The sequence below is a fragment of the Homo sapiens genome, chromosome X (assembly GCF_000001405.40).
Source record: "Homo sapiens chromosome X, GRCh38.p14 Primary Assembly".
Classification (NCBI taxonomy): Eukaryota; Metazoa; Chordata; class Mammalia; order Primates; family Hominidae; genus Homo; species Homo sapiens.
Window position 1 is genome coordinate 154,233,411 of NC_000023.11, and position 21,686 is coordinate 154,255,096.

A 21,686-nucleotide genomic window follows, 5' to 3' on the forward strand; every position below is an offset into this window, starting at 1 on the left:
CCGAGCCTCATGTCTACCGATGGCGTGAAAGGATCCTGGCAAAACAGAAGTGTGAGGCAGGTGGGCGTCTATATCCATTTCACCAGGCTGGTGGTTACATAATCGGCAAGCAAGAGCTGTGGAGGGGCTTGCTGGATGCCCTCAGCACCCAGGAGGAGGGAGGGAGCTAGCAAGCTAAGGCAGGTGGCCCTCCTGGCCCCTTAAGGTCCATCTGCTGGAGGCCCAGAGTCCTTGGAGTACAGTCTACACCTGGAGGGGACCCATTCCTGCCAGTCTGTGGCAGGGATGGCGCGCCACCTCTGCCAGGCCAGGACCCCAAGCCCGATCAGCATCAGCATGGTGCAGGTGCACAGGCGTGAGCTGATCAGTGACGAGGGGCAGGCACACAAGGTGGAGACAAAGACCAAGAGGACGGTTGCCAGTGAGAGGCGCGGACTCAGGAACTTGAACAACATCTGCGGGGGACGGCTTTGGAGGTGCTCCGCTGCCTCCAGTTGGGTGACTTGCTGTAGCATCTCCAGCTTGGATATTCGGCTCTTGAAGGTCTCCGTGATCTCCTGCAGGAGACGAAAATGCACGCACCAGAAGTCAGCACAGAGTTGTGGTCGTTTATTGAGTTCTTAGGGGTGAGCAGAAAGCACTGTGGAGTGGGTATTCGAGGAGGGAAGCAGAGAGCCTAGAGCACATTCAGGGCAGAGGGGAGGGCGCAGGCTCTCCAGCAACAGGGAAAGCTTCATCTGACCCGGCTGCACTCCCCCATCCACTGTCTCCCGAAGCTGAGGACCTGGTCAAGACACAGCTACCCAGGGACGGGGGTGGGCGCTATGGGAATGGAAAAGTGAGGAGAGGGAAGCCAGGTCTAAGGAGGGGTTCTGAGAGGGCGCTCCCTACACCTGCAGCCGCAGCAGAAGCAGCTCCACCCCAGATCTCCCGAGTCAGAGGCTCACGGGTGAGCACTGCAGCACCAGAGTGGCAAAAGCAGCTAAGCCAGATGGTGGGAAGCGGAGCGTGAGTGTAAAGATCAGATGCTGCTAGCTCTGAAACAAATGTGTGTGGCCATCGAACCCTCAGGAGGGGGCAGCTCGAGGACCCGTGTCTTGCTTTGGTTTGGGGGTATCAGAATAGATTCGCTCATCCCTCCAGTCTTCTTGCAAGGCTCCCCCAGGAGGTTCTCACCCATATTTCCTTGGCTCTCTCATAGGATAGATAGGCCATTCTCTCTTCGCTGCAGGCCAGATTGTGTTTGAGGTTGTAAATCTCATTCAGCTGTCCCTGCAGGCGACCATTCACCTGTTCTTCCATCAATGCTTGCCTTGGGAGCAAAAGAGAAAGTGAGATTCCTTCAGTACCTCATCCAGAGCTCATGCCAACAGCGAGCGGTCCTGACCTAGACTAGATTCGGGTTCAGCTTCTGCCTTCCTCCCCGCTCCCCAGGCTCTAGGGAAAGCCTGCCTCCCACTCCAGGTCTGCCTGGGAACACCCCAAACACACACCAGCCACACGCACACCAATATTCATATATATTTTATATGTAGTTACTCTTTTGTAACAGCTTTACAAAAATAGCCACAGACTAGAAGTTGTAGAAATGACAGTGTGAACTATCTGTGTGTGCTCTTCAGTTCCGCAAATCCCCCAGGACCAGTGTTGAGCACGAAGTCTAGCCTGCAGTTTAGCCTGCAGTTACTCTATAGAAACATGGTGACTATAAGGATTGAAAAGCCACAAAAGACCACAGATTCCAGTACAATTCCATTAGTTACGAAATGTCCAGAATAGGCAAATCCATAGAGACAGAAAGCAGATTAGTGGGTGCCAGGGGCTGGGGGTGGGGGATGGGCAGTGGCTGCTAATGAGTACAGGGTTGCTTTGGGGCTGGTGAAAATATTGTAGGACCGGGCACGGTGGCTCACGCCTGTAATCCCAGCACTTTGGGAGGCCAAGGCGGGCGGATCATGAGGTCAGGAGATCGAGACCATCCTGGCTGACACGGTGAAACCCCGTCTGTACTAAAAATACAAAAAAAAATTAGCCGGGCGTGGTGGCGGACGCCTGTAGTCCCAGCTACTCGGGAGGCTGAGGCAGGAGAATGGCGTGAACCCGGGAGGCGGAGCTTGCGGTGAGCAGAGTTCACACCACTGCACTCCAGCCTGGGCGACAGAGCGAGACTCCGTCTCAAAAAAAAAAAAAAGAGAATATTGTGGAATTAGATAGTGGTGATGGTTGAACAACTCTGTGACTATACGAAAAACCAGTGAATTGTACACTTTAAATTGGTGAATTTTATGGGATGTGAATTATATCTCAATAGAGCCGTTATTTAAACAAAAAGAGAAAAGTGAATCATGGCAATAGTTGCGCAACTCAGTAAATTTACTAAAAACCATTGAAATGTAGTTAAAATGGTGCATTTTATAATATGTAAATTATATCTCAATAGAGCTGTTAAAAAACCACAAGCAGGCCAGGCGCAGTGGTTCACAGTTGCAATCCCAGCGCTTTGGGAGGCCAAGGCAAGGGGATTGTTTGAGGCCAGGAGGAATTCAACACCAGCCTGGGCAACACAGTGAGACCCTGTCTCTACAAAAAAAATTTTTAATTATCTGGGTGTGGTGGCACGCGCCTGTAGTCTCAGCTACTCTGGAGGCTGAGGCAGGAGGACCTCTTGAGTCCGGGAGTTCGAGGCTGCAGTGAGCTGCCATCACGCCACTGCACTCCAGCCTGGGCAGCAGAGTGAGACCCTATCTCTAAAAGAAAACAATCACTACCTGTTGTGTATATAATTATATAAGTAGTAAAAGTATAAAACCATGCATGGAAAAGATAAGCACCCAAATGAGAATGGTGAGGCCAGTATAGCAAGGCCAGAATAGCAAGGAAGGGAGATGGTGCTGGAAAGGGGTAATGAGGGCTTCAACAGAATATTTTAAAGTTTTATTTCCTAAAAAAATAAGATTTGAAGTGAATATGGCAAATGTTAAGATTTCAGAAAGCTGGGGCTGTTAATTATGTTATCCTTACATTTTCCCTTTGCTTGAAATACTTCATAATTTAAAAACTTCTATGAAGTTCCCCTTTTGGCACCACAAAGAACGGGCCAGAAGGACAGAGGCCAGGGGGCCAGTGAGGGGGCTCTGGCACCACCGCTTACGTAGAAGAGAGAAGGCACCAGAGCGTGATGGAACCCATAGACTGGCAGGGCTGCCGCCCCAGGAGGCCCAGGAGGGTGGCGGCAGGCCTCAGGTGCAGGAGGTCTAAACGGTGGTGCTGACAGAGACGGGGAAAACAGTGACGACTTCTATTCGGTCCCACTCCAAGGACTTGACCAACACCCACACGGAGAAATCCCCCGGGCACTGAATAAGCTGACAGCTCATTTGTTGAAAGCCAATTTGTCAAAAGCTGGTTCCTCGCAGCATTTCAAGGAATATTCCATTTGTCTCTGCCCCAGGTCCCTGTTAAGAAGAGAGTCGGTGGACAACATGGACTAGGCCACTGCTCACAGAGAGGGGGAGTGGGTCGGCAGGATGGTCACCCCGAAAATAGATTCCTCATTACTGTCTTTCCATTTACATGAATGATCTAGCTGTGAGAACATTCAAGATTTTAACTGTCCTCAGGAATATGAAGTCAATCTTCATCAATGTATTGGTAAAGATACATGAAGATATTCTTCAGTGCATTCTTGAAGAGTCTATTCAGATGTCAGTAAACAATATTTTCATAAGGATATTCTCTCAGTCTCCCCTTCTCTCTGGCCCCCATCTCCTGGCCCTCTGGCAGCCGCGCTCCCTTCTCTTCCTTGGTCAAGGACCCCCCTCTCTCCACCTCCTACAGTCACAAAAGCAAATGGACAACTCTGGAGAATGCTCTTATGAACACAAAACGATGACCAGTCAACCCAGACACCCTCAAGACAGACCGAAGGTGTTAAGACCACCCTCTCCAACACAAAGTGTTCTAAACTTTATTGTTTTTTTCAAAATAGTGTTGTTGTTTTTTTTTTTTGAGACGGATCTCCTTCTGTTTGCCCAGGCTGGAGTGCAGTGGCACGATCTTGGCTTGCTGCAACCTCCGCCTCCCGGGTTCAAGTGATTTTCCTGCCTCGGCCTCCTGAGTAGCTGGGACTACAGGTATGCGCCATCATGCCGGGCTAATTTTTTGTATTTTTAGTAGAGACAGGGTTTCACCATGTTGGCCAGGCTGGTCTCCAACTCCTGACCTCAGGTGACCCGCCTGCCTCGGCCTCCCAAAGTGCTGGGATTACAGGTGTGAGCCATTGGGCCCAGCCGGAAAGAGTATATTCTTGGTCATTTCTGAGAATTTGCTTTTGGCAAATTGAGCTAGAGCCTAATCATGGCCCACAACTTGGAGGAAAAGTCTGAGACGGAGAAACAGCTGTAGGAGGGGTCAATAGCCCAGGTGCAATCGGTGCATGTGGCCAGGATGGATGAGCTCACTCTGAGCAAATGTGCCAAAGCAAGGGGCCCTGGGGAGCTGGGGGAAGAGCCAACAAAACAGAAGCGAAAGCAGGAGGAAATTCGCCAGGACGGCTCACACAGGAACCCAGAGGATGTAGGGATACAGTGGAAAGGTTGAACATACATGTAACTGGGGCCTTAGAAGGGGAAAAATGAGAGACTAGGGCAGAGTCACTATTTGAAAATATAATGGCTGAAAACGTCCAAAACTGACAAAAGACATCAAGCCATAACCCCAAGTAGCAATGCGAAGCCCAAGCAGGATGAATGCAAAGAAAATCACACCAAGGGGAGAGTCAGCGGCACAAAAAAGAAGAGAGAAAGAAAATCACGCCAAACATCATCATAGCAAAACCACTAAACAACAAAGAAAAACAAAAGATCTTAAAAGGAGCCTGAGGAAAACAAAACTGTGATCCGAGGAGCAACAAGAAGACTGGCAGCTGCCTTTTCAACAGAAACCATGGAAGTCAGAAGGGAATGATTTGTTCAAAATGCTTATTATTTCCAAAAATTAAGTGCCAACTTAGAATTCTATGTCCAGCAAAAAATATCCTTCAGGGCCGGGTGTGGTGGCTCACGCCTGTAATCCCAGCACTTTGGGAGGCCGAGGCAGGCGGATCACGAGGTCAGGAGTTCAAGACCGGCCTGGCCAACATGGTGAAACCCCGTCTCTACTAAAAATACAAAAACTAGCCGGGCGTGGTGGCACATGCCTGTAATCCCAGCTACTGAGGAGGCTGAGGCAGGGGAATCGCTTGAACCTGGGAGGCAGAGGTTGCAGCGAGCCGAGATCTCACCATTGCACTCCAACCTGGGTGACAGGGTGAGGCTCTGTCTCACAAAAAAAAAAAAAAAAAAGAATTCCTTCAGAAATAAAAAGGAATGATGGCATGTGTGAGGCAATAAGGTGACAGTGACTGCATATTTAACATTGTGGACTTGTTTTAAAACATTTTTGGTATGGTATTTAGGCTATGTTAACAAAATGATCCATATTTCAGGTTCACACTGAAATATTTACAGATGAACTGATATAATGTCTGTGCTTTGCTTCAACGCAATAGGGATGAGAGGAACCAGTTCAGAGAGCAGATCAGACCTTAGGTCAGACCTCCTCAGAGATCCCAAGATGCAGGATGCTGTGACATGGAGGAGAAGTCGGGGAAAAAATGGAAGTTCTTGTGCCTTCAAGTTAACACGACCCCAGCCTGCAACAAAGCCCTAAGCAGATACCTTGAGGAAAGTCAGCCCGAGACTGGATCCCTGGGGCTGAGAGGTCACAGAGCAACACTGAAGCCTCTAGGAACCATAGCCTGTTATCTCCAAGCCTCGTCTGAAAGCGAAACATACCAGAACAGTCTTGGGACAGAGGAGCTAGGGTCTGGATGCCCCCAAGGACCTCGTGTCCAGAAGGGAAAGAAAAACATGGAGACCTGGCATATTCACTTCCGGGCGTTTTCAATATGACAGGAGGCTATAAGAAAATTTCACGACTGCCCACTTGTGGATACAGCCAGAAATACAAAGCAAGAGTGAAAGTTTTGCCTACTCGGCACCTGAGTAGCTTCTTTTTTATTCAATTTTTATTGAGGTAAATTTCATGTAACATAAAATGAATTATTTTAAGGTGAACAATTCAGTGGCATTTAGCACATGTGGTGTTGTGCAACCACCATGGCTATTAATAGTTCCAAGACATTGGCCGGCTGCAGTCATGCCTGTAATCCCAGCACTTTGGGAGGCCGAGGCGGGCGGATCACGAGGTCAGGAGATCGAGACCATCCTGGCCAACACGGTGAAACCCCGTCTCTACTAAAAATACAAAAATTAGCCGGGCGTGGTGGTGCGCGCCTGTAGTCCCAGCTACTCGGGAGGCTGAGGCAGGAGAATGGCGTGAACCCGGGAGGCGGAGCTTGCAGTGAGCCGAGATCACGCCACTGCACTCCAGCCTGGGTGACAGAACGAGACTCCGTCTCAAAAAAAAAAAAAAAATTGTTCCAAAACATTTTCATCACTGCCTCGAAAAAATACTATTTAGCAGTCACTCCCCATTCCCCATCACCCCAGTCCCTGGTAACCACCAATCTGCTTTCTGACTTGAGTAGCTTCTTATCTCTGAACCTCTACCAGCAATTTATGAATGAGAGATGGACAAGACCATCAGGTATGTGGAGACGGTCCTAGAGAAGCTGCTAGAAAGTGACAGACAACCAGAGTAAGGGGTAGTGGAGCACTGTAATGCTGTGGAGAGGAGAGGGCAGCAGGAATGACAAACCCAGGAGGCATTGACTCAGGGAAAGAAGAGGAAGGCAGGGTCAGGTCGAGATCTTGGCCAAATCCCTGAGCTCATCAACCTAGGGTGCTCCATTGATGAATTTATCAAGAGTCATTGGCCGGGAGTGGTGGCTCACGCCTGTAATCACAGCACTTTGGGAGGCCAAGGCAGGTGGATCATTTGAGATTAGGAGTTGGAGACCAGCCTGGCCAACATGATGAAACCCCGTCTCTACTAAAATATGCAAAAATTAGCTGGGCGTGGTGGTGCATGCCTGTAATCTCAGCTACTCAGGAGGCTGAGACAGGAGAATCACTTGAATCCGGGACGCAGAGGTTGCAGTGAGCTGAGATCAAGCCACTGCACTCCCTCCAGCCTGGGCAGCAGAGCAAGACACCACCTCAAAAAAAAAAAAAAGCCATTAACAACTTTCTTTCTTTCTTTCTTTCTTTCTTTCTCTTTCTTTCTCTCTCTCTCTCTCTCTCTCTCTCCCTCTCTCTCTCTCTCTCTCTCCTCTCTCTCTCTCTCCTCTCTCTCTCTCTCTCTTTCTGTTTTTTTTTTGAGACAAGTTCTCACTCTGTCCTCTATCACCCAGGCTGGAGCACAGTGGCACAATCATAGTTCACTGCAACATAAAACTCTCGGGCTCAAGCGATCCTCCTGTCTCAGCCTCCCATGTAGCAGGGACTACAGGCATGTGCCACCAAGTCCGGTTAATACTTTTAAAATTTTTTGCAGAGATATGGTCTCACTTTGTTACCCAAGCTGGTCTCAGACTCCTGGGCTGAAGCAATCCTCCTGCCTCGACCTCCCAAAGCACTGGGATTACAGCCATAAGCCACCACATCTGGCCCCATTTTTCTTTACGATCTTTCAAGGACTTAGTTTGCACATAGGAAGCAGAAAGGAATTGTAAATTCAGTTCCATCAGCATCTACTTGGGGCTTACACACAAGTATTAATTAATTCTCACAACAGTTCCAACAATAGTGGGATCATTTTTACCTCCATGTTACAGATGTGGAAACTGAGGATTGCAAACTTGAAGCACCTCGTCCAAGGTCATTCAGTAAATACCTTGCAGAGAGGAGGCTGGGCCAGGCCTAAATCCAGAATCAGCCCTCCTGGCCCTGCCCTGATGTTCCCAAGACACAGCAGATAGAGTTCTGACATACATGGAGGAGGGAGGCAGCCCAGAGGGCGAGCTGGGTCCCTTCAGGAAGGGAGGAAAAGCAGCATCCAGACTGATCCATGAAACAGGTACTCACAGAACAGCCATCATGTGCCAACATGTCTTTGGGCAGTCACTCAGACACAGTGGCCGACCTGAATGTGCTGATATTTTGACGAGAACAATACAACACAAATGAATACCTACACAAGGGAGAGCAGTTTAGGCGGTGAGTGCTGCGAGAAAGGAAAAAGTAGGGGAGTGACAAAGACTGGTCCGGAGTATATAAAGAGCTCTGACAACTCAACAATAAAAAGACAATCCAAGTTGAAAACAAGCCAAAGACTTATTGGCTGATAAGCACATGAAAAGGGGTTCAGCATCATTAATTGTCAGAGGCAGGGTCACACACCCACTAGTCTCATGGGCTAGGATACTGGTTCTCAACCAGGGGCAATTTGCCGGCCCCCCCCTCCCCAAACAAGGGACATTTGGCAATCTCTGGACAGACATTTCTGGTTGTTACAAATAGGTGGGGCACGGTAGGCTAAAATTGCCCCCCTAGGCTGGGCACGGTGGCTCACATCTGTAACCCCAGCACTTTGTGAGGCTGTGGTGGGCAGATTACCTGGGCTCAGGAGTTCAAGAACACCCTGAGCAACAGGGTGAAACCCCGTCTCTATGAAAAATACAAAAAAATTAGCTGGGTGTGGTGGCACGCGCTTGTAGTCCCAGCTACTTGGGAGGCTGAGGCAGGAGAATTGCTTGAACCCAGGAGGCGGAGGTTGCAGTGAGCCAAGATCGTGCCACTGCACTCCAGCCTGGGTGACAGAGAGAGACTCTGTCTAAAAAAGAAAAAAACAAAAAGCCCCTCCGCAAAAGATATCTGTGTCATAATCCTTGGAAACTGTGAATGTTACCTTCTATGACCAAAAAAGGGGGCTTTCCAGAAGTGGTGAGTTTAAGGGTATTGAGATGCAAAGATTATCCTAGATTATCCTGGTGGCCCTAAATGCAATCACATGTATGAGAGAGAGGCAGAAGGACATTAGACACACACAGACGAGAATGTCATGTGAAGACAGAACACAGGTTTGAAGATGCTGGCCTTCAGGACAGGAATGATGTGGCCACAAAATTAAGGAATTTGGCAGCCACCAGAAACTGGAAGAGGCAAAGATCAGTTTGTCCCCTAGAGCCTCCAATGAGTGTGTGTCCTCCTCGCCTGATTTCAGCCCAGTGAAACGGATTTCGGCCTTCTAGCCTCCAGGACTGCGAGAGAATAACTTTCTATTATTTTAAGCCATGAAGTTGGGGGCAATTTGTCACGGCAGCATCAATTAATTCACGGCACCACTGGCATCAAGTAAGTGGAGACCAGGGATGCTGCTCATCATCCTAGAATGTACAGGACAGCCCCGCACAACAGAGAATCATTTGGTCCAAAATGTCGACAGTGCCAAGGTCGAGAGAACATGGGCTAGGGTGATGAAATTTTGGAGTCTAATTTCACCAAGTTGTGGCTGAACTTAAGAGGCTGACATTTAAAAGACTGATCTTGCCAAACGTTGGCAACTGGAACTCTTATACACTCCTAGCGGGACTGTAAAATGGTATAGCCATGTCGGAAAACAGTTCCTCTTTTTTTTTTTTTTGAGATGGAGTTTCACTCGTTGCCCAGGCTGGAGTGCAATGGCACGATCTCGGCTCACCGCAACCTCCGCCTCCTGAGTTCAAGCGATTCTCCTGCGTCAGCCTCCCGAGTAGCTGGGATTACAGGCATGTGCCACCACGCCGGGCTAATTTTGTATTTTTAGTAGAGACAGGGTTTACTCCATGTTGTTCAGGCTGGTCTCGAACTCCCGACCTCAGGTGATCCGCCTGCCTCAGCCTCCCAAAGTGCTGGGATTACAGGGGTGAGCCACCGCGCCCGGCCTTCCTCTTTCTTAAAAAGTTAAGCATACTGCTATGGTGTACATGTCCCCCCCAAAACTCGTGTTGAAATTTAATGGCCATGTGATGGTGTTAAGGGGTGGGACTGGTAAGAGGCGATTAATATTAATATTGTTATCATGAAAGTTTGGCCCCCGCTCGCTCTCTCACGCCCTCTTGCCCTTCTGCCTTCCGCCATAGGATGATGCCGTACAAAGGTCCTCACCAGCTGCCAGCGCCTTGACATTGAACTTCCTTTCTTTATAAACCACCCAGCCTGCGGTACTCTGTTACAGCAACAGAAAGTGGGACTAAGACACATAACACTTCCCTGTTATCTAGCAATTCCATATATGAAAGCATATGTTCACAGAAAGACTTGTGCGAGAACGTTCATAGCAGCTTTATTCAGTCGCCCCAACTGGCAGCGGACCAGGGCATAAGCAACCTGCGGCGTCTCCATGCAATGGAAGGCTGCCAAGCAATACGAAGCCATGAGCTACTCACTTCACACAGCTTGGGTGGATCTCAAAACAATTCCACGGAGCGAAAGCCGCCAGACACAAAGCACTGCGTGCCGTGCGATTCCACTTACGTGAAGTTCAAAAGGAGATGAAGCTAGAGTGACAGAAACCGGAACAGTGGCCAATTATGGGAGACGGGCATTCACTGGAAGAGGGTATGAGGGTACTTTCTGGGGTGGTGGCAAAGCTCTTTATTGGGATTTTAGCTGCCCAGGTGTAAACCTTTGTCAAAACTCGTTAAACTGTATGCCTAAACTTAAATGCAATTTCACTGCATAAAATTTACCTCAAAAAGGCCAGGCGCGGTGGCTCACTCCTGTAATCCCAGCACTTTGGGAGGCCGAGGCAGGTGGATCGCCTGAGGACAGGAGTTCGAGACCAGCCTGACCAACATGGAGAAACCCCATCTCTACTAAAATTACAAAATTAGCCAGGCGTGGTGGTGCCTGCCTGTAATCCCAGCTACTCGGGAGGCTGACGCAGGAGAATCGCTTGAACTCAGGAGGCGGAGGTTGCAGTGAGCCGAGATTGCGCCATTGCACTCCGGTCTGGGCAACAAGAGCAAAACTCCATCTAAAAAAAACAAAAAAACAAAAACTTTACTTCAAAAAACCCCGCTTCCAAAAGAATAAAAGAAGAGGCCATTTGAACGTGGTAGCCTGGGAAGTCCCTTTGAGGAGAGGACATCAGAGCAGAGCCTAAAGGACAAGCTGAGTGTGGGAGTTTCCTCTGGCTGCCATCACAAAGCGTTACAAACTTTGAGTGGCTTTCCCAGCAGAGATGGCCTCTCTCCTGGCTGGGGGTCCAGCAGTCCGAGAGGAAGGCCCAGGCTGGGCGGGCTCCTGCCGAGGACCGAGAAGGCGCCTCCACTCGGGGCCTCTGTCCCAGCTTCTGCTCTGCTGCCCACCTGCGGGCTTCCTTGGCTTCTGCCACGGCAGGTCGGCCTCAGCCTCTGTCTCCACACGGCGCTCTCCCTCTGGGTGTGTCCGTGTCTCCGTCTCCCCTTTCTGTCAGGACACAGGTCACACTGCATTAGGGCCCACCCCTCTGCAGAATGACCTCATCCAGATCTAACTCATCACGTCCGCAACGACCCTGTTTCCAAATAAGCCGGTTCCTTGTCACCAAGTGGAGCCTTCAATGAGTTGATGCCAAGGCAGGTCTAGGGAACTAGAAATGGGGCAAGAAGCAATGTCCTCCAGCCAGGTGTGGTGGCTCACACCTGTAACTCCAGCACTTTGGGAGGCCGAGGCGGGTGGATCGCTTCAGGTCAGGAGTTCGAGACCCCTGGTCAACATGGCGAAACCCCATCTCTACTGAAAAATACAAAAAGTAGCCAGGCATGCTGGCGTGTGCCTGTAATCCCAGCTACTCGGGAGGCTGAGGCAGGAGAATCGCTTGAACCGGGGAGGTGGAGGTTGCAGTGGGCCGAGATCGTGCCACTGCACTCCAGCCTGGGGGACAGAGTGAGACTCCATCTCATAAAAAAGACAAAAAAAAGAAGCAATGTGCTCCTCACAGTCGGGTTTTCTCCCAGGACCATTTTACTCATCCAACAAAGAACAAAGATGTCCCAGCAACCCATCTACCCCAGGCATTGACCACTCGGGCTACAAAGGTGAAGGAGGAGGGTGGGGCTGGGCAGGCTGGGACTGGCTATGGACCCCAGAGAGTAAAGATGGTTTTGCTGGCACCATACCCCCAACTCCAGGACTTGTCCATGCCCTGTCTACGGGGCCAAGACTGAAACCTGACTGCCTTTCACCATCAAGCAGAAGTCAGCTGCGCATCCTGTAAGAGATGGGGAAGGACCCCCAAGACCCTCCCAGAGCCCCCTGGCTCATTAGGAGGCTAGAGGGGGCCTCCTGCAACTCTGCATGCAAGGTGCCCAGATGAGACCTGGCCAGTCGAGACTTTTACTTGAAGGCTCCCCATGCCTTCCTTGGGTGCCATCTCTTCTACCAATGAACGTTTTCTGAGTTTCTCAAGCCTTCTTTCCTCCTGACCCACGAAGAAACTGAGGGACCGGGGCCTTCTGGTCCCCCAGGAGACTGGCTTGTGCTGAGGAGGTCGGCCGCTCACTGTGCATCTTCTCGGAGATCTGAAGCTCCTCCTATTTCCACAAGAAAGAAAGGGAAGCTTGGCAAAGACCCTTCCATCCAGAATCATCAAGTTCGCGACGCCCGTGCTTCTCCTCAGCACACAGAGAGGAGAGTTACCAGGGGCCTCAAGCAACTCCAGCGGAAGCAGTCACAGTCCTTCCAGGACCCAGGAACGTCCTCTGCAAGGACCTACAAACCCAGACCTCATGAAGGAGGAGACCCCAGGGCCAGCCCCAAGCCTCCTGAGTCTAATTGTTGCTGTGATAGAGACCCTGCACTTCGCAGAATCAAAAAGAATATATTGTGGGTTTTTTGTTTTTACCACAATCAATTAAAAAATGCATTAAAAAGTAAGAACTGTCCAGGCACAGTGGCTCACATCTGTAACCCCAGTACTTGGGGAGGCCGTGGCCAGGTGTTCAAGACCAGCCTGGGCAACATAGCAAGATCCCATCTCTACAAATAATAATAATTTTTAAAAAGTTAGCCAGGCATGGTGGCACATGCTTTGTACTCCCAGCTACTCGGGAGGCTGAGGCAGGAAGATCGCTTGAGCCCAGGAGTTCAAGGCTGTAGTGAACTATGACTGCATGCAGCCTGGGCAACAGAGACCCTGAAGAAAAAGAAAGAAAGAAAGAGAGATAGAGAGAGAGAGAGAGAGACAGAGAGAAAGGAAGAAAGAGAAAGAGAGAAAGAAAAAGAAAGAAAGAGAGAGAGAGAGATGGAAAGAAAGAGAGAAAAAGAAAAAGAAGAAAGAAAGAAAGAAAGAAAGAAAGAACTTTTGCCTATCCAAAGACTCAGGAAAAATAAAAAAGAAAGCCAGCCCTCATAATGAGATACCACTTCACAGTTACATCTGTTGGAAAAAAAAAAAAAGGATAACAACAAATGTTGGCAAGGATGTGAGGCAACTGGAAGCCTTCTGCATTGCTGGTGGGAAGATGGAGCTGCGCGGCTGCTGTGGGAAGACTCCTCTAAACGCTACACCTGGAGTCACCACGGGGTCCAGCAATTCTACTCCTGATTATAGACCCCAAAGAATTGAAAACTGGTGTTCAAACAACTGGCATGTATCTGAGTGTTCAGCGCAGGGCTTCTCACAATAGCCAAAAGGTGGAAACAACTCAAATCTCCATCCACTGATGGACAGATAAACAAAATGTGGTCTACCCATGCACTGGAATATTAGTCAGCCGTCAAGAGAATGAAGTACTGATACGTGCTACAACATTAGTGAACCTTGAAAACAGTGAAAGGAGCTAGACACAAAAGCCCACATATCGTATGGTCCCATTTATATGAAAAGTCCAGAAGAGGCAAACCCACGGAGACAGAAAGCAGATTAGGGAACGCCTGGAGCCGAGGCTAGGAGTGACCGTGTAGTGAGTCTGGAGGTCTCCTTCTGGGGTGATGAGAATGTTAGACAACCGGACAGAGGTGATGGTTGAACCACACTGCAGATGTACTTAATGCACTGAATTACATGCTTCCAAATGGTTAATTTCACATTACGTGAAATTATGTGAATTCTACATCAATTTTTTTAAGTAAGCCCTTGTCATAAATGCGTTTAATACAGTTGCTGCCTCAGCATCCAACTTTAGCAGTTGTACCCTGTCACCTTTGCCCTAGATAACACCCCTCCCTCCCTGTCATGTGATTGTTTGCGACATAGCCCACGTGGTCCTCGCCTCACTGACCCAAAACCCAACACATCCCACGGCTGCTGACCACGATAAGACCTAATGCTCAACACCAGAGTCATGTAAATCAGTTTCCTCCTCGTGCATGTTTTCTTTAAACCAGCCAATCCACAACCCCCGCAGGAAAGCCTGTGGGATCACTTCACACCCTGTGACCTTAATACAGGCACAGCCCCGGAAGCTTCCCCGCCCTTCCGTTCTGGGCTTCGCTGTTGCACAGCTGATGAGCTCAATCAGCTCCCTGCTGCCTCCAGACTTCCCCTCTGCCTCCCATCAGCACACCTAACATCTCTTCGATCTGAGTCATACATTTCTTTTTTTTTTTTTTTTTTTGACACAGGGTCTTGCTCTGTCACCCAGAATGGAGTGCAGTGGTGCAATCATGACTCACTGCAGCCTCAACCTCCCGGGCTCAAGGGATCCCCGCTCCCGCTCAGCCTCCTGAGTAGCTGTGACTACAGGCACGCGCCATCACGCCCAGCTAATTTTTTGATGTTTTTGTAGATACCGGGTCTCACTATGTTGCCCAGGCTGGTCTCAAACTCCTGAGCTCAAGCAGTCTGCCCACCTCAACCTCCCAAAGTGCTAGGATTACAGGCGTGAGCCCCCACGCCCAGCCCATTTCTGCTGTTTCATGCATTTTCGTCTGCCTCCTCACTGTGGCTCCCCTGACACACACATCCGAACCTAACTTTCCCACGGGTCAGGGATCTCCTAGAAACTGGGTATCTCGGCTATGGCCACTCTCAGTAGAGACATGCCGAGACCAAATTAAAAAGAAACCATAATGATAAAAACCACAACAGCCCTCCTGAAAGCAAACGGATTTAACTGTGATAAACAGCACAGGACTTGCAGTATGGATTCTCAGTTTGTGATGCACCAGAGGGGACGCAACAGTCACAGGGAGCCTGGCTGGTTGAAACACTTCTGTGTCCAGATCATGTAAAAGTTTTGAAGAAGATTTTACGGAAGTATATGTTTTTAAAATGCCATGAACTCCTGTGTCCCCTGCATCTAACTTAGCCACACAGCCAGGGTGTGGTGAAATGCTCTCAGGTCCGCACTTAGCAGCCACGTAGCCTGCTTGTGCCTCTGTGAGACTCTGCTTCCCCAACCATAAAGTAGGCGTCTGAGGGCCAAAGAACAAGGCTGCTTAACCTGGTGCCCCAGCTCAGTTACGAGCCCGTGACAACAGTGAAAAATCATCAGCAGCCCTTTCTCCTCCTGTAGACCTGCTTGGGCCCTGTAGACCTGCTTTTCTGCTCACGATGAACATTAGTAAGGGTAGGCTCGCTGCTGCAGCAAACAACCAGACATCCCATGTCACAGTCCAATGGGGGGTACCGGGTCAGAAGTGCAGGCTTCTAGAATTTGCAGCAAAAGTCTGAGAGGGGGAGAGACAGAGGTATTGCCCTGCTCCCCGGTAGTCACCGCTGTATCAAGAGCGGGCGAAAGACTCGGATTTGAGAGGGGTTAAGAGTTTACCTGAGCACAGCATTCTCATTGGCCCCTGTGGCTTGGAAACATACGGGGAAGTTTGTAACTGCCACCAAGTTCTGCTGTTGCTTAATAGAAAGCTGACCGGGTAAGTGTGATTTTCACAAAAGGGTCTTTGATGCTCCCAAGATTTTAGATTTGGTTGCCATGTCCTATGAAAATAATCTGCAAGAGACGCCTGTGACTCTGACTAGTCATCTCATTGACAGTGGTTGCCCTGTAATATTCTTTGATTGTCCTTTAACAGATTCTTAGGCCATGTAAACGCTGGCAAGATTTCCCTGGGGAAACTAAAGAGGATGATTCCCACACGCCGCTTCCCCTGCATCAGGCACTAAAAGGACTGCGGAGTTCTTCTTTTCATGCAAATGCTGAGAATCTTGGCTCACCTAAGGGAATCGCTGCCTCCCTAGCCAGGACGCTGGAGGGACTGGCGTTAATTAGCCACAGACTGCAGCGAGGGGGACAGAATGTGGCACCCCCTGAGGGCCCATGGAAACCCAGAGAACGGTCCCAATAGGAATGGAGAGAATCCGTTGAGAGATTGGGTTTGCCTTTTTTTTTTTTTTTTTTTTTTTCCTCCAATTGGTAGGCCCTAGCCTTATCTTAGAGGGAAAGAAAATCGAGCTAGGGCAGGGTGAGGTGGCTCACACCAGTAATCCCGGCACTCTGGGAGGCTGAGGCAGGCGGATCACGAGGTCAATAGATTGAGACCATCCTGGTCAACATGGTGAAACCCCGCCTGTACTAAAAATACAAAAAATAGCCGGATGTGCTGGTGCACGCCTGTATTCCCAGCTACTCGGGAGGCTGAGGCAGGAGAATCGCTTGAACCCGGGAGGTGGAGGTTGCAGTGGGCCGAGATCGTGCCACTGCACTCCAGTCTGGCGACAGAGTGAGACTCCATCTCAAAAGAAAAAAAAGAAAAAGAAAATCGAGCTACTGCACGGTGCGGAGAAAGCATTCACCAGAAGGCAGTCATTTTTGAAATAAGTATCTGAGACCCGGCCTGTGCCCCAGCTCAGCTAGGAGCACATGTGAAGAGACCAGAGCTGGCGAGGCGACTCCGGTCCTGACTCCCACCTTCCCAGCCGACTGGGACCAAAGGACGCCACCTCCCTAACTAGTGCCAGGTGTCTACCGGACTCTTGCCACCCCCATGTTGTCCCCTGCCACCACAGGGTCAGGGCCAGCCGCTATGCCGCTGCAACCACCCGGCAGGGGCTGCCAAGCTGGAGCATTTTCGCTAGCAAGGGTCAAGGCAGGTGTGGGACTGCAGGGAGAGGGCTGGCTCGCCCCACTGCAGGGCCCAGTCGCTAAAAGAAGCATGGACCTGCTCTTCCAACTGGCCCCTCACCCTGGCTCTCCAGGCTCCTGTCCTGGCTCCCTTTCACCCTCCCATAGGTGGCTCCTGGGAGCGGTTCCTCCTCTGCTTCCAGTCCCCAGAGCCAAGGCCTCACCTACACTTCTCCTCCTGAAGGGACTCCAGCAACAGCTGCAGGTCAGTCAGAGACCTCTCCTTTAGGCTGTGATAGGACTCCTGGAGGCTGATGTGGAACCTCTTGGCTTCTTCCAGCTCTGCCTTTACCTTCTGCAACAGCAGGTTTTGTTGCTGGGCCACATCCTCTGTCTCTAAGCACGTCCCCTGCTGTAAGCTCTGGAAGCGACTCTCCAAGATGAAGGGCCTGCTGGCATGAGGCAGGTTGACCGGCCCGTCTTCCCCACCTGGCTCGGGGGGCTCTGAAAGCAGGGCCTTCTCACTGGGTGGCTCGCAGTTGGCTGGGTCGCTTTCTGCCATCAGCAGTAAGCCCTCGGGCCTGCAGCCTTCCTCCAGCTCCTGGAGCTGCTGGTGACACTGGTGGAGCCTGTGCTCGATCTGGGCGATGGTGGCAGAGGCGCGCTGGTTCACCTTCTCAAAGGCCTGCTGGATGTGCGGCACCTGGTGCCGGTCTGCTTTGGATACCAGCTTGAGGTAGCTCACAGTGTTGCCATCCCGACTGGCCTTCTCCACTCTCAGCTGCTCTGAGAGGTAGAGGATGCGGTGCCTGACACTATCCTGTAAGTTGTGGGCTAGGCCTCCATCTGCGAGGCTGGAAGGGCCACTGGGGCCGTCTTCGCTGGATGACAGGGACCGGCATGAAGGCACATTGGAGGGGAGGGTTGCGCTGGGGCTCCTGGTGTGTTCCGCCTACGTTGGGAAACAAGAAATCACAATACGGTGCTCTGTGAGCCGCAAAGTGTGGGAGAATTGGACACGTTATGACTCCATAAAACACTTCCACATATGCATGGATACTTACACACGCAAGATTTGTGCATTCAAGATGGGCCCGACACAGACTGAGGAGGTGATGCTCATCTTCAGGGCCCCTCTCCCCTCCTTTTCAGCGTCTGACTCCTTGCTCTACATGTGTGCCTCACTAAGACCCACAGGTGGCCAGACTCCCTTCTACATCTGCCTGTTTTTGCACTGCACTCCTATTTTCTCTTCCAAAAATTACCAATTGTGGGTCTCATTTATAAAGAACTGTTCTTGTAAAGTATGGAATAAGCTTATTTCCGTCAACTCTTACAGCTTGCTGTATTGCTACTCCCAGGGAGACAGGAAGGGTTAGGCAGAGAGATTTGCCTCCTAACAGGTTCATTCATTCATCCAATCATTCATTCAACACATACTTTCTCTGAGTGCCTACCACGTGGTACAGAAGCCAGATACATTCCTTGATCTCATACAGCTGACAGTCTACGGCAGAAAATTCTACTGTAACACAAAAGAATGAGTCTCTCACATGGTGAGGGGATTAACATTGCCTTTGACGAAGAGCCCAGTTCAAATCCTGGCTCTACCACTCTGAGACCTTGAGCAAGTTAATAAACTGCTCTGAGGCTCAGTTTTCTTACCTCTAAAATAAAGATGGCAAGAGCAGCATAGCTGGAACCCAGCCCACCAGAGCAAGGAGCTAGGAGAGGGAGGTGGGGGGCAGCTCAGGTGCAGCCTCTGTTCCGTTTCTACTTTTTTGTTTTTTGAGACGGAGTCTCACTCTGTCACCCAGGCTGGAGTGCAGTGGTGCAATCTCGGCTCACTACAACCTTCGCCTCCCGGGTTTAAGCAATTCTCATGGCTCAGCCTCCCGAGTAGCTGGGATTACAGGTGTGCATCACCACACCCAGCTAATTCGTGTATTATTAGTAGAGACAGGGTTTCACCATGTTGACCAGGCTGGTTTCCAACTCCTGACCTCAAGTGATCCTCCCGCCTCGGCCTCCCAAAGAGTGCTGGGATTACCGGTGTGAGCCACTGCATCTGGCCTATACCTCAATTTTTAAAATGCAAAGTGATACCACTATGTACCCAGTAGATTGGTCAAACTCAGACAGACTAACAACAATAAGAGTTGGCAAGGATATAGCGCAACAGGAACTCTCAATCATTACTGGCGGGAAGCAAATTTGTACTACAGCCACCTTAGAAAACCACTTGACAGTATCACAAAGTTGAAGATATACCTACCAAATGATCCAGCAACTGCATTCATAGGCGATATTCCCAGGAGGCAAGTACACTGATGTTCTCAATATCCAACAACTAGCAACAAACCACCTGCCCAGAAAGTGTAAGTAAACTGTAATATATGCAACAACATACTACTGTACAGCAATGAGAATGAACTACAGCCTTGAAAAACATGAATGCATTTCACAAGCATAATGTTGAACAAAAGAAACCAGACAGAAAATCCATACTATATATGGTTCCATTTACATAAATTCCAAGAGCAGGCAAAACTAAACAATATTGTGTAGGGATGACTACACAGGCAGGAAAGCTAAAGAGCAGCATGGATGTTGGCAACAGAAACCCCAGGATGGTGGTTCCCACTAGAGCGGGAGAAGGGGATTATGACTGGGGTGACTGTGGAGGCTGGGGTGCCTGGCCTGAGTAGTGGTTAAATGTGTGTTCACCTTATCGTTACTTCTTAAAACATACATCAATGTTTTCTGCACCTTTATATACATATGCCAGATTTCACAGTTTTCAAACTATTTAAATGTTCAATATAGGCCAGGTGTGGTGGCTCATGCCTGTAATCCCAGCACTTTGGGAGGCCGAGGCGGGCGGAGGTCAGGAGGTCAAGACCAGTCTGGCCAACATGGTGAAACCCCGTCTATACAAAATACAAAAAAAAAAAAAAAAATGCCTGGCACAGTGGTTCACACCTGTACTTCCAGCACTTTGGGAGGCCGAGGCGGGCGGATCACCTGAGGTCGGGAGTTCAAGACCAGCCTGACCAACACAGAGAAACCCCATCTCTACTAGAAATACAAAATTAGCCAGGCGTGGTGGCACACGCCTGTAGTCCCAGCTACTCGGGAGGCTGAGGCAGGAGAACCGCTTGAACCCGGGGTGCAGAAGTTGCAGTGAGCTGAGATCGTGCCACTGCACTCCAGCCTGGGTGGTAGAGTGAGACTCCGTCTCAAAAAATAAATAAATAATAAATAATAATATGTTCAATTGATGGATTTAATGGCAGATTTGATATGGCTGGAGAGACTGTTGGTAAATTGTACAGAGGAGCTAAAGAAAGTATCCAGGCCGGGCGCGGTGGCTCACACGCCTGTAATCCCAGCATTTTGGGAGGCCAAGGCGGGTGGATCACCTGACGTCAGGAGTTTGAGGCTAACCTGACCAACATGGTGAAACCCTGTCTCTACTAAAAAATACAAAAAATTAACTGGGCATGGTGGTGGGCACCTGTAATCCCAGCTACTTGGGAGGCTGAGGCAGGAGAATGGCTTGAACCCAGGAGGCAGAGGTTGCAGTGAGCCGAGATCACGCCACTGCACTCCAACCTGGGCAACAAGAGCAAAACTCCATCCCAAGAAAGAAAGAGAGAGAGAGAGAGAGAGAGAGAGAGAGAAAGAGAAAAGAAAGAAAGAAAAAAAAGTATCCAGAATGCAGCACAGAGGCACAAAAAAATAGAAAACTTGAAAAATAGAAGACATGGAAGGTAGCATGAGTAGGTCTAACAAAAATCCAATTGTCACACCAGAGAGAGAAGACAGACAGAATGAAGCAGCAGCAATATATACATATTTTTCTTCTTTTTTTTTTAAATTGAAATGGAGTCACACTCTGTTGCCTAGGCGGAGTGCCGTGGCACAATCTCGGCTCACGGCCGACCTCTGCTGCCCGGGTTCAAGCACTTCTCGTGCCTCAGCCTCCCGAGTAGCTGGGACTACAGGCGCGTGCCATCACAGCTAGCTAATTCTTTTGTATTTTTAGTAGAGATGGGGTTTCATCATGTTGGCAAGACTGTTCTCGAACTCTCAACATCAGGTGACCCACCCACCTCGGCCTCCCAAAGTGCTGGGATTACAGGCATGAGCCACTACGACCGGCCACAGCAGCAACATTTTAAGAGATAACTCCCTAAGAACTTTCCAGAACTGAAGAAAGACACAAATTCACAAATTCAAGAAGCCCAATAAATCCTAAGCAGGGAAGACAGAAATAGGTCCACACCTAGACACGAGATTTTTTTTTTTTTTTTTTTTTTTGAAACAGTGTTTCGCTCTTGTCGCCCAGGCTGGAGTACAGTGGCGTGATCTCGGCTCACTGCAACCTCTGCCTCCCGGGTTCAAGCGATTCTCCTGCGTCAGCCCCCCAAGTAGCTGGTACTACAGGCGCCCGCCACCAAGCCCAGCTAATTTTTGTATTTTTAGTAGAGACAGTGTTTCACCATGTTGGCCAGGCTGGTCTGGAACTCCTGACCTCAAATGATCCGCCCACCTGGGCCTCCCAAAGTGCTGGGATTACAAGCATGAGCCACCGCCCGCGGCCGACACAAGATGTTAAAAGCAGCCAGAGGAAAAAAAGCTGATTACCTTTAAAACCATGACTTTTAGACTGCAGGCTGCCTTCTCAATAGCATCAATGCAATCCAGAAGATAGTTGACTGATATTTTCGATACACTGAGAGAATAACTGTCAGAG

The 21,686-nt window shown here is 49.7% G+C and overlaps 1 pseudogene; it reads right to left on the reverse strand.

Annotated features, from left to right (window-relative positions):
- Positions 51-21,686, reverse strand: TEX28P3 (TEX28 pseudogene 3; annotated as a pseudogene).